Source organism: Homo sapiens, chromosome 4, assembly GCF_000001405.40.
Source record: "Homo sapiens chromosome 4, GRCh38.p14 Primary Assembly".
NCBI lineage: Eukaryota > Metazoa > Chordata > Mammalia > Primates > Hominidae > Homo > Homo sapiens.
In genome coordinates, this window is record NC_000004.12 from 26,132,862 (window position 1) to 26,145,209 (window position 12,348).

Below are 12,348 nucleotides of genomic sequence, written 5' to 3' on the forward strand. Positions count from 1 at the left end.
AACAACCAGAAAGCCCGTGTCTGTGCTTCTAAATCCCTAAGGCCCTGCTCCATCATAGGTGGGTTTTCGTACTGTTATTGGTAGCTCTGCCTCCCTTTGTGGCAGAAAAGCCAAGAGCCACCTCCCTTTGGGTTCCATGAGCCTTCCTACGTCTTTCCCAAACCAGGTCACACCTGAGCTTCAGCTCCACCTTGAGGCCACCAGAGGTGCCTGCCCTGAGGTGAAACCTCGGTGTGACCCAGGCAGGTGTCCTCTCTGGCCAAACCATTTCCTTGCACATGCACCAGTCAACTGTCATAGCAATAGCCATCATCTGAGACAGCCCTTTACATACTGTTTTCACGTATGTCTGCTCATTGGACCCTCATCTTGACTTTGGGAATTCGTTGTGTTTCCATCACCCCAGTTTACAGATAAAAAACTGAGACTCAAGGCCAAGTGCAATGGTTCATGCCTGGAATCCCAGCACTTTGAGGTGAGGGCAGACAGATTGCTTGAGCTCAGGAGCTCAAGACCAGCCTGAGCAACAGGCAAGACCTCATCTCTACTAAAAAACAAACAAACAAAAAACTGAGACTCAGAGTTCAAGGGACTCATTGCTCTACTATTATTCACAGGGGGCCCCTAACCCCAGGCTGCAGACCCATATGGTCCATGGCCTGTTAGAAACCAGGCCACACAGCGGGTGAGCAGTAGGTGAGCAAGCATTACCACCTGAGCTCTGCCTCCCATCAGATCAGCAGTGGTATTAGATTCTGATAGGAGCGTGAACCCTATAGGGAACTGCACATATGAGGGATCTAGGTTGTGAAGTCTTTGTGAGAATCTAACTAGTGCCTGATGATCTGAGGTGGAACAGTTTCCTTCCTCCCCTCCCCGCCCCCAGTCTATGGAAAAATTGTCTTCTACCAGGTGGTCCCTAGTGTCAAAAAGGTGGAGGACCGCTGATCTAGTAGGTAACAGAGCTGGCTTTAGAGCCCCCTCTTCAGACTCTAGATTCTATCCACTCCTACTCTGCTTCTTTGCCTTATTTTCTCTGAATAGCAAAGCTTTAAAGATGAAGGAAGGAAACAGAGGGTTTCTCTACCCTAGCTCTCCAACAGGGACTGTCAGAGGGAGCTGCATAGAAGCTTCCCTACCCTAAAGTTGAATACGTTTATAAATCATCATTATCCTTATGAGTAACCTACCTGGTATAGTGTGAGGGTTCCTGGAAGAGGTCCTCCCCTCCCCCTGAAATTTCCTGGGTCCTGACAGGATGGTTGAAATCTGAAACACTACTATTTAGAGGGTTTAAATGAACCCTATTTAGAGTTCATTCTTTTTGGGTCTCAACGTCATGGGATAGCAGAGCTTTGGAATCAAACACAGCAGGATACCAAACGCCTTTTCACAACTTAGCCCTGTGGTCCTGGGCAAGTCTATCCTTTCTGCAGTTCTCATCTATTTAGAGGACATGACCTGAGACATAATTTGCAGGAAGCTCTTGTTCAAAAGCTATTAAGAATTTCAAGATGGCGACAACAGAGTATTAAACCCTGGCTGGGACACTTCTAAGCACAGGCCCCGTGCAAGTGCTCCAGTCTCACACCCATGAAGTCAGCCCTGAGAGTGGAGGACTGTCTCATGGAGAAAGTGTAAGGAGAGTTCAGTGGTTAATAAAATGTTCATTTATTTCCTTTGGCCAATGGTTTTCCTGCCAGAAGACCCACATGGGTGCTCCCTGCAAATGCAACTTCCCAGTGCTTCCCTAGCCCATTCTCATTCCAGGATGGTGTCCAGAAATGTGCGTTTTACCAAAGATCCCCAGGAGATTCCGATAGAAATGGAAGCTACCCTTTGAGGAGCTTAGCTCCTTCAACGAGCAGGTAACTCGTTGAAGGAGTTGGTTTTTACAAACCCAAGTACTTGACACACACAGTGGCCCTGGAACTCTGGGTGTGCTGTGAGGAAATGGCTGCAGGTGCATGAACTGAAAGAGCTGGTCACCAGGAGCTTTGACATTTGGGATCTCAAGATCGTCAAGTCTCCATGATGGCATGAACGACCATCATCTAAAGGAAACTCGCCCTGAGACACAGCAACTCCAGCAGAGGCAGTGGCAGGTCTTCGGTACCACAGTTCTTTCTGCAGCTCGGGGGCTCACCTTGCAGCATTTCCTGAAGTCCCCAGGGTAGGCCTTGGTCTGCCTCCTTCCTCACTGCATTCCTCCTTGACATCCTTAGACAGCTTGCCTTGCCTCTTGAATTCTGTACCCTGGGGATCTGTGGTCCTATTCACCCCTCAACATCCTCAATGTGCCCCACAGGGAGACTTGGATTTAAGAGGGTCTACATCTCTCTCCATTACTAAAGAAAACTGCACCTTCTTCCCTAATTCCAGATCTTAGCACACCTTGGAACTTACCAATGCTCATAGCCCCATTGTGATGAGCAACTTGCATCCGTCCCCTCATTTCACCCTCACCACAACCCTCTGAAGGAGTGTGTGTATCCCCACTTTACAGATGAGAAAGCTGAGGATGATTTATGGCTACTTTGATAGGAAGTGGTGGACATGGGATTTAAACGCAACAACCCTGTGAGGCAGATGAGGCCAACATTAGCAATCCTCGTTTTACAGCTGAGGAAACCGAGCTCCAGTGGGTTGGGCAATTGCCCAAGGTCATAAATCCTGCAAGCAGAAGAGCTGAGATATGAACCCAAGTGGCTTGACCTTAGGCCTGAGGCTCTTTCCAGCCTGCCTCCTCGGAGCTTCTACCAATAAACTTCCCTCTGTCCTGTTTGGCAGAAACCTAAAAGGCCTGGCTAGGTATTGAGGAAGAAGGAGCTGCATTCAGCTGTGAGGAGGAAGGGATGCTCATTACTTGTTGACCATCACGCGCTGAACTTCACAGCTCGCCTGGGAAGTTTGCAACAGCCTCTGACATAGGAACACCCAAGCAATGGGAGCTGAAGAGGTCAACCCCACATGTGGTGGGTCATACCTGGCAGCTCTGCTTGAAGAAGAAGCTCAGAGATGGACTGTATTAGTCTGTTCTTACGCTACCAATAAAGACATACCTGAGACTGTAAAAGGTATGTCTATAAAGGAAAGAGGTCTAGTTGACTCACATATGGCTGGGGAGACCTCACAATCACAGTGGAAGGCAAATGAGGAGCAAAGTCATGTCTTACGTGGCAGCAGACAAGAGAGCTTATGCAGAAGAACTCCCATTTTTAAAGCCATCAGATCCCGTGAGACTTATTCGCTACCACAAGGACAGTATGGGGAAACCATCCCCATGATTCAATTGTCTCCACCTGGCCCACCCTTGACACATAGGGATTATTACAATTCAAGGTGAGATTTGGGTGGGGACACAATGAAACCATATCATGGACCCAGCTTCACAATCCAGGGAGCTGAAAGAATCCCTTCTCTCCCAGGTCACAAGATCTTGGCTCCCCAGCCCTCCTCTCCCATCTATCCCCAGCTCCATGGGCACACCCCCAATGCTGAACCTCGGGTGCAGTCCAGTCCTGCCCCAGGAGCCCTTCCTTGTTGACTCCCTCATCCCAGCCTCCACATCTCCTGCCATGGCGTGGAAATTGGGTGGGCAATGCCTCCTTGAATGACCCAGAAGCAAGAGACTGCAGGGAAGTAACAGAGGGAGAGGGAGGAAGACTTTGGATGGAAACAGTCAGCTACCCCCATCCCTGCCCCCATGCCTCTCCTTGGATTGCCACTGGCAGCATCCTGGCAGTGGTCAGGCCTGACAACAATTTAGATTACTTACACAGAAAAGAAAAGTTATCATAACAGGCCCTTAGAAACATCATGATCATCATCATTATCATTGGGAACTTTTTTTTAAAACCAGGTATTTTGTGCCAGGCACTACTGTAAACACTTTCACATATGAATCTATTCACTGAGCACTTAGCATATCTAACTTCCTTATTTATCTTTTCCCCAATGGCACTGAGGGGCTGGGACTATTATTTGCCTGTCTCATAGATGAGAAAGGTCACACAGCCAATAAGTGGTAGATCTGAAACTGAAATCCAAGTACTGCTGATCCCAAAACTTGCCTTTGTACCACGTAAACATCTTCAAGAGTCACTTGTAGAACTAGACAAAATTGCGGAAATAAACAAGCCTGTCTATTCAGCAGAAGCTTCACAAATGGGGGACAAGACAAAAGTGGAAGAAGTGCCCCTGCCTTCTGGGATGCTCCACTAGGTTCCCAGGTGTAATTTCCCCACAGGAGCAGTGGGAGAGGCGGATGGTGGTGAAGGGAATGCCTGTGGGCTGGGAGGGTCAGCAGCCAAGCTCAGCAGAGAAGGCACAGGCTTTGGAAGTCTCTCCTTCACAAGCCTCTGGGATGTTTTCCCACCCCAGCTTTATGTTCTGCAGCTCACAGGATTTGGGGGAGATCTTGTCCCCCAAAGTTGTATGCGTGTGTCCTGACCCACCCTCTCATTGTAGAGTCTGCTGATCCCACTCCCTACCCTCTGGTAACCTTGGTTTCTGAACTGTCCGTGTGTAGGCCTTGAACTTCTTTCTTGGCTCTAAACAAATCCATCATCAGGGATGCAGCAGATGACACTGCTTTGTGACCTCCCTGTGCCCTGCCAGCTGCTAGCTGCCCATCAGAGTACTATGGAGAGAAGCAGTGTGGGGTCAAGTCCAGGTCCTACCAAGTATGGCTGGGGGTGTGCTGCAGGCCACCGTACCTCTCCGAGCCTCTTCGCTTCATTTGTAAAACATGGAATATAATGCCTGGCTGCTGTAGTTGACACACAGGTTTTCCTGAGGATCTAACAGAGGAAAACAGAATGGCTTTGGAAAACATGTACCTCATTTCACTGTCAGGCACAGCTGTCACCTGGATGCTCTCAACCTGGCCTATGGGTCATCAAATGATGAACTGCCTCCCTCCATCTGTCAAAATACCCTGATTTCCATTTGGGGGATTCAGCCCTCCCTAGTCTCAGGAATGCATATTGACTGGAATTGGCCCTGCCCCCCTTCAGGGACGGGCCCCAGTTAGCTTAACCTAATAAGGATAAACCCTCCTCCTGACACAGTGATTGACTTGGGGAAGAGCATGCAACTCAGTCTGAACCAATGAGGGAGTGTGATTTCTCAAACATATCTAGAAGCTACCAGAAGACATGATATCTTCCCTTAGACCATAGAAGGTCTGGCACTGTCATAGCTATCTGCTGCTATAAGTTGAGACCCTGGAACTGCCAGGAGACCACTGTGTGAGGCCCCAGAATGAAGCCTACACTGTGGGAGGCAGACAGAGAAACATGGCCTTGGTGACCTCAGTTTGTTGCTGGAGCAAACCTTACCTGATATCATCCCAACCTCCAGACATTTTGGCTCATGCAAATAAATACCTTCCACTGTTGAAGCCAGCCTGAGTTGGGTTTTGTTATTTACAGCAGGATGCCTGGTTACATCAATCTTCTGCTGCCCCTGCCTCTCCCTGTCCGATGCTGGGGCCTCTCTGGCACTAGAGAAAAAAAAAAAGGCAGAGCAGGGATGAAAAGAGGAGAGGATGCGAAAACCAAGCCCACATGTTTAACTTCTTGGTAGCTGCTCTGGAAAGAGGCTCAACAGAAGAGCCTCAGAGATGTTGGCGGAACTAAGTTCCAGGGTTACCTGGGGATGTCTATCCTTTCCCTTCTCCCACAGATAATCAAGAGTTGGCTGGGAGTGGTAATCCCCACCAAACACAGCCAGAGAAATGTCGCTGCTCTGGAGTCTGAGTCTTTCCAGAGAGCATGTTTAGAATGAGCCCCAAAGCTGAGGGCAGAGGCCGTCCCATGTTAGTGACCAATGTGGAGTACATGAACCACTTCATAGACACTAGAGAGCAGCTTAGAAGCAGCCTCTTATCCATCTGTTCCTCATGCTCCAATCCTGCCCCAAAGAACAAGAAGGAATGAGGCCTGAGGGCCAATCTTGCTGACCTGGGAGACAGTATATGACTTCAGCTTGTCTTGGTAGCAGGACTGGAGAAGAGCAAGGCTTAGGGGTTCCATGAAGTGCTAGGCAAGAAGCTGGGGATAATTAGGACCACCTGAGATTGCTCTGCGCTCAAGAGGAAAGAGGGAGGTGGGCCAATGGAGTAACAGCCAACAATCCCGGACATCCAAAGGGCTGGGCCAGCTCAGGACAACCCAGGCAGCTGCCAGCACCTGAGGTTCCGAGAGGCGGGAGCCCATCACAGCAGCCAGAAGTTAGGGAGACAGCCCTGCCCAAGGCATAAGCTCACAGGCACACGGCCACAGACCCAATCTCTGGTTCCAACACATTCCAGCCACTGCCCTCTAAGAACCTCTTGGAGACTCAGTTTCCTCATCTGGGCAGTGGAAGTAATAATTCCTCCTTTATAAGGTTTTCTTGAAGAATAAGTTCATGTTAAGTGCTTAGTGTAGTGCCCAGCCCATTGTTGAGCTCCTTCGTTATTTATTGGGTACTAAAAAAAAGCTGGGATTCTGCGAGGGACCAGTGGGTTGGGTACTGGGGCAGGGAAGGGGCCAGGAACAAAGTAGAAGCTCAAGGCTTCCCCTTTCTTTAATTCAACACTTAGCATCCACAGTGGCATGCGGGCTCCCAGCTGGAGATGCAGACAGAATGAGAGCCAGTCACAGCCTGCAGCTCAGTGAAGCTGTGTCCCCCCTGGGGCTGTGCTGAGGCCTCCCAGCAGGTGAGCCTTACCCAGGAGCACTCAGTGGGCCTCTGCTGGGTTCTGGGCAAGGCAGAGCCTGGAGAAATGAGGCAGAGACAGGCAGAGGCAAATGGAGCCTGGCATTGCACAGAGTGGGGCCACAGGGGCCTCTGTTTTCTGTTCCTCTCAGTGACATGGGTGGATCAGTAAGTCAGACTGAAAGCCAAAGAGATGAGCGTCTTTGCCTGTGCTCAGTGGTTAAGAATTTCCTTAATCAGAGGCTGTTGAATTTTCACTCATGTTTCTGTACTTAATTTTTAAGAATTAAAGAAATTTTTAAGAAGACTCTATATTCTACAAAGATGCTCCTGTGTCCCACAGACCCACCTGGAGCCTCTGTTCTCTGGCTGTAGGTCATGAGAGGGGTGGGACAGAATGCTGAGAGCATACCCCTGATGATGGCTGCCTTAGAACCCAGCCCCACTACACCCAAATTTAGGAGCTGTGTCATCTTGCATACGTTCTCCAACCTCTCTGGGCCTCCAGTTCCCATTTAAAAAATTAGAGATAGTGGTGACTTCAGTGAACTCATATGGATAAAAGCACTTGGAACAGTACTACGTAAATGTCACACAGCATTTGCTAATACTGTTACCACAGCCTTGATTGGCATCCCCTAGGCTGCTGCATGCTGGGAAGAGGACACAGGGGCCTCCTTAATTGCCCAGTGACAGCCCAGGCTGTGGCACAAACCACAAATGTACTGAAGGCTTCATGTCTCTACTAGGATTCTTTTGGTTACAAGCAGCAGTAAACCTGCCCCAAACTGACATCAGCAAAAATAACATTTTATGAGCACACATAACTGAAGAGTACATGGCTTGGTTCAGATGCCCAAAGGATGAGGTCAGGATCTGGTGTCACTCTCCCCCAACTTGGCTCTCCTCCCTGCGTTGATTCTATTCTCAGACTGGATCTCCATTCGTGGTGACAAAATGGCTCCCGATGGGCAGGGGCTACATCCTTCCTCCCTGGCTCACAGTCAGTGACAAAAGAGCAAGACTACTGCCCTGGAAGCTCAAGCCAAAGCCGCCCCACCCCCCCACCCCCCAAATCACATTGCCTCTGATTGGCCTGACTTCATCCCAGGATGGTCACCAGCGTTTTGATTAATTAGGTCTGGGTCCAGCACCGCCCTAGTGTTTTGATTAGTTAGGTCTGGGCCAAGGACCGCTCCTGGAGGCAGAATTGGAGCCACAGGGAGAAGTGGATGCCCGAGCCCAATCTGGGACACTGACCCTTCCACAAATAAATAAATAAATAAATAAATAAATAAATAAAATATTTGCAATATTTGAGAATGGCAGAGGAGAATTCTAACATAGCAAGGAAAAGCTCTGCTTTCTTTTCCCTTAACATCTCTGAACAATTCATCTCCTCTTTCTGCTCCAAGAATGAGAGCCAGGCAGGTTGTTAAGATGGTTAAGAATCCACACTCTGGAATAAGACTGTCTGGGGTAGATCCTGGATTTGTGTGACCCAGGGCAACTCCCTTTACTATCTTGGGCCTCAGCCCCTTTGTCTATAAGACAAGGCCAATAATCCTACCTACTTTCTGGGCTGTGCTGAGAATTAAATGAAAGGATAAGTCCTCAGAGGGTGTGTCCAGCCCACAGTAAATAATCAATTTGCTCTTGCAGTTGTTATTCATGCGTGGATGTTCCTGCTCCAACTCTGGCCTCTCTAACCCAGCACTAGGCCTTGGGCTAAAAGCCTTCAGGAGAAAGAATGTAACGGCAGGCCAGGGACGAGCCCAGCACTCAGATACTTCCTACCCCACTCCTGCGGGTGGGAAGAAGCTCTAAGTGCAGGACCCAGGAAGGCCAGGCTGCAGCACAGGCCCCAGGGCAGGACCCAAGCCAGGCCCGGAACGCCCAGGAACACTTCCTACCCCCAAGTTAATAAGAAAACCACAGCATCTATTTTTTTTAACTGACACATAATTGCACATATTTATGGGATACAGAGTGACATTTCAATCTATGCATACAACGTATGAGGATCAGATCAGGATAATTAGCATTTCCATGCCCTCGAGCATTTGTCATTTCTTTGTGTTGGCAACATTCAAGTCTTCTTTTCTGGCTATTTGAAAATGTGCAACAAATTGCTGCTAACTATAGTTACCCTACAGAGCTATAGAATACTAGAGCTCATTTCTCCTGTCTAGCTGTAATTTTGCGTTCATTCACCAACCTCTCCTTATCCTCTCCTCCCCCTTTCCCTTCCCAGCCTCCAGTTCCTGCCATTCTACTCTACTTCTAGCAGAATCTCTTCTTGCCTTCAGAGCCCCTTCCCCCAAAAGAAGCAATCAAAAACACCATCCAAATAAGGCAAAAAGCTGTGCCGGAATTTGCATGCAGAGTGTTTATATAGATTAGAACATCTTTGTTGACTCGCAGCTTAAACCTCTGAGGCTTTGCAGTTCATCAAAGTTTAATGTTCTGTTTCACGATGTTCCTTGCCGTGGTTAAGTGGCTCCGTCAGCTCTTAGAAGGGAAACTTCCCCCTTCAGGGTACATTTCCCCTGCCCTGAGCCCAGGAGCCCCACTGCTAAGGGCATCTGTTCTGTTTGCTTTTGAGAAGTACAGATGTGAGTAGTCACCAACTTGAATCTTCTGTTCATCTGGCAGCTGGGCAGCTGGCTGATGTAACAGCTGCAGAACACGGAGTCTCCCAGAAGGGAGAAAAAGAGAAAAGAAAAAAGACACACATAGCCCAGGATGATATGCCACCACTCAGAGGCCTCCAGGAATTGGATCTAAAGAATCTCACTCCACATCATTCCAGCCAGAGTGGAGGCCAGTGGGATGCAGTTGAGCTCAATCCACATTTGTTGGGCCTTCACTGGGCAGCTGGTGAGAGGAAGGTGGCGGCTTAACAGGATCATTAGGAAATGGTACACTCTAGTTGGGAGTAGAAGGCTCTTGGATGGGGAAGAGCTGGCTCTATCGTGAAGGAATCTAAATTGCAAAGTGTTCACAGGTATCACACATGCCTTATCAGAGGACATGACCAAGGTCTTCATTTGTAGATGCTCAGATGTCACCTAAGTTAAGTGAACTGTTGGGGTCAACCTACAGACACTTCTTGTGTATCCAGTGAGTTTCCTGCACTGTGCAGGCACAGGAGAAAGAATAGGCATTCAAGAAGCATTTGTCTATTTTGAGTGTGTGTGTGTGTATGTGTGTGTGTGTGTGAGAGAGAGAGAGAGACAGAGTCTCGTTCTGTTGCCCAAGCTGGAGTGCAGTAGTGCAATCTCAGCTCACTGCAACCTCTGCCTTCCAGGTTCAAGGGATTCTCCTGCCTCAGCCTCCCAGGTAGCTGGGATTACAGGCAGGCACCACCATGCCCGGCTAATTTTTGTATATTTAGTAGAGATGGGGTTTCATCATGTTGGCCAGGCTGGTCTCAAACTCTTAACCTCAGGTGATCCACCTACCTTGGCCTCCCAAAGTGCTGGGATTATAGGCGTAGCATTTCACTATGTAATGACTACCTCAAACCTTACACTGAAATTAACTCATATTTCATAATAATATGATTAAATAAGGAGAAGCCAGCATAGATGCATGTTAATCCAAATTCAATCCCATCTGATTATCTCTCTGCTCCCTCAGTGGTCCAAGCCACCTTTGTCTCTCACCTGAGTTATGGCAGTCACTTCCTAACCAGTCCCCCTGTGCCATACACCTCATCCCTCTTTCAATTTATTCCCAACACAGCAGCCAAGGAAATCTTCTTAACAGGTAAGTTGTATCACGTCACTCCTGTGCTCAAAACCCTCATCTCGCAAAGCGTAAAAGCCAAAGTTCCTCCAATGAATGACTTCCAGGGCCCTGTGTTACTTGTAGTGGAGCCATCTTGGAAGTGGTTCTTCCAGCTCCAGTGGAGCCACTGCAGCCAGCATCATGTGGAAAAGAGATGGGTTTTTCTTTGCTGAGCCTACAGAAATTACAGAATCATGAGTGACTAAAAGATTGTTATTTTTGTAAGCCACTAAGTTTGAGGTGGTTTGTTACACAGCAATAAATAACCATTAAGCTTTCACATTAAGGCTGGACGTGGTGGCTTATGCCTGTAATTCCAGCACTTTGGGAGGCCAAGGCAGGTGGATGGCTTGAGCCCAGGAGTTCAAGGCCAGCCTGGACAACATGGCAAAACCCCGTCTCTACAAAAAAATAGGAAAATTAGCCGGGCATGGTGACACACACCTGTAGTCTCAGATACTCTGGGGGCTATGGCAGGAGGATCACTTGAGCTCTGGAGGAAGAAGTTGCAGTGAGCCAAGATGGTACCACTGCACTCCAGCCTGCGCATCAAAGCAAGACTCTATCTCAAAAAACAAACAAAAAACAGATTCACATTAAAAAATAGTTCATTGCTAAAAACAGTCAAAAGACATTATTGTAGAAAAATATCTAATGAAAAGATAAACTTTATATTATGTGTTAAATTTCAAAAGGCCACAAAACAGTGTATATAGAATAAAAATATTTTTTAGTGTACAAGATATCTATAAAGTTTTCATGCAATTTGAATTTTTAATAAAATCACTTCTATAATAGGTATAAACAAGTTGCAAAATGCAACTCAAGATTTAAATAAATTGTCAATGATTTATTTGTTTCAATTTTTTTATAGAGGGGAAGAGAGCATAAGAGGGAGTAAGAAAATTCTTTTTTTTTTTTTTTTTTTTTGAGACACAGTCTCACTCTGTCGCCTGGGCTGGAGTGCAGTAGTGCAGTTTTGGCTCACTGCAACCTCTGCTCCTGAGTTCAAGCAATTCTCCTGCCTCAGCCCCCCGAGTAGCTGGGATTACAGGCATGCACCACCATGCCCAGCTAATTTTTGTATTTTTAGTAGAGATGGGTTTTCGCCTTGTTGGCCAGGCTGGTCTCAAACCCCTGACCTCAGGGGATCCACCCACCTCAGCCTCCCAAACTGCTAGGATTACAGATGTGAGTCACTGCACCCAGCCTAAAAATTCTTTCATTTCTTTCTATCCTCCAACCTTCTAAATTCCAGAAAGAGGATAGGTATGGCTGAAATGCAAAAAGAGAGTAAGTTCATTCCTAGGCTTAGCCACCCACACCCCAGTAGCTGATGACTTGGGAAATTTGGACCTCAAGATTTGTAATATGTTTTCTTTTGTTGTTGCCTTTGATCTAGTCCCACATGCAATGCAGTTCCATTGTATAGCCTGGGTGACAGACTGGGGAAGCCTGACTTTGATTCCGGAGCCAGTGAAATTGATTCCAGTCTCCCTTCCCTCCCTGTGATTTCTTCACTCTTTTATATGTGTCTTCACTCGAATTTATGTCACTGTGCCTTGCAGACAGAACAGGTCCAAGTCAAATCAACCATACTGGGTTTTCAGGCAACTGAAAATTTCAGATTCTTTTTAGTAAGTCTCCCTCAACCTGCCTTCTTCTTCTTCTTTTTTTTTTTTTTTTTGAGACAAAATGAAAATGTAGTAGTTTACATTTTTCTGAGTTTCATTTCATCTTCCTGGTTTCAACAGTTTTTCCAGCCTGTCAAGACCAATTGAACTTTAATTGGATCACCTGTCATACAAGCTGCTCGTCCCAGACTTAGGTCTTCTGGAAATTTTACAACTA

General features: G+C 47.4%; 1 protein-coding gene across 1 annotated transcript in view, besides 1 other annotated feature; it reads left to right on the plus strand.

Annotated features, from left to right (window-relative positions):
* The window catches only part of RBPJ (recombination signal binding protein for immunoglobulin kappa J region), a 329,683-nt gene that overhangs the window by 27,413 nt on the left and 289,922 nt on the right, over positions 1-12,348 (plus strand). The window lies entirely within an intron of this gene.
* Positions 6,454-7,223: an enhancer, noted in NCBI's record as "H3K4me1 hESC enhancer chr4:26140937-26141706 (GRCh37/hg19 assembly coordinates)". NCBI's record gives its function as "activates a minimal SCP1, AML or CMV promoter by ChIP-STARR-seq in naive H9 embryonic stem cells {active_cell/tissue: H9 hESC(naive)}" and the evidence as "EXISTENCE:reporter gene assay evidence [ECO:0000049][PMID:30033119]".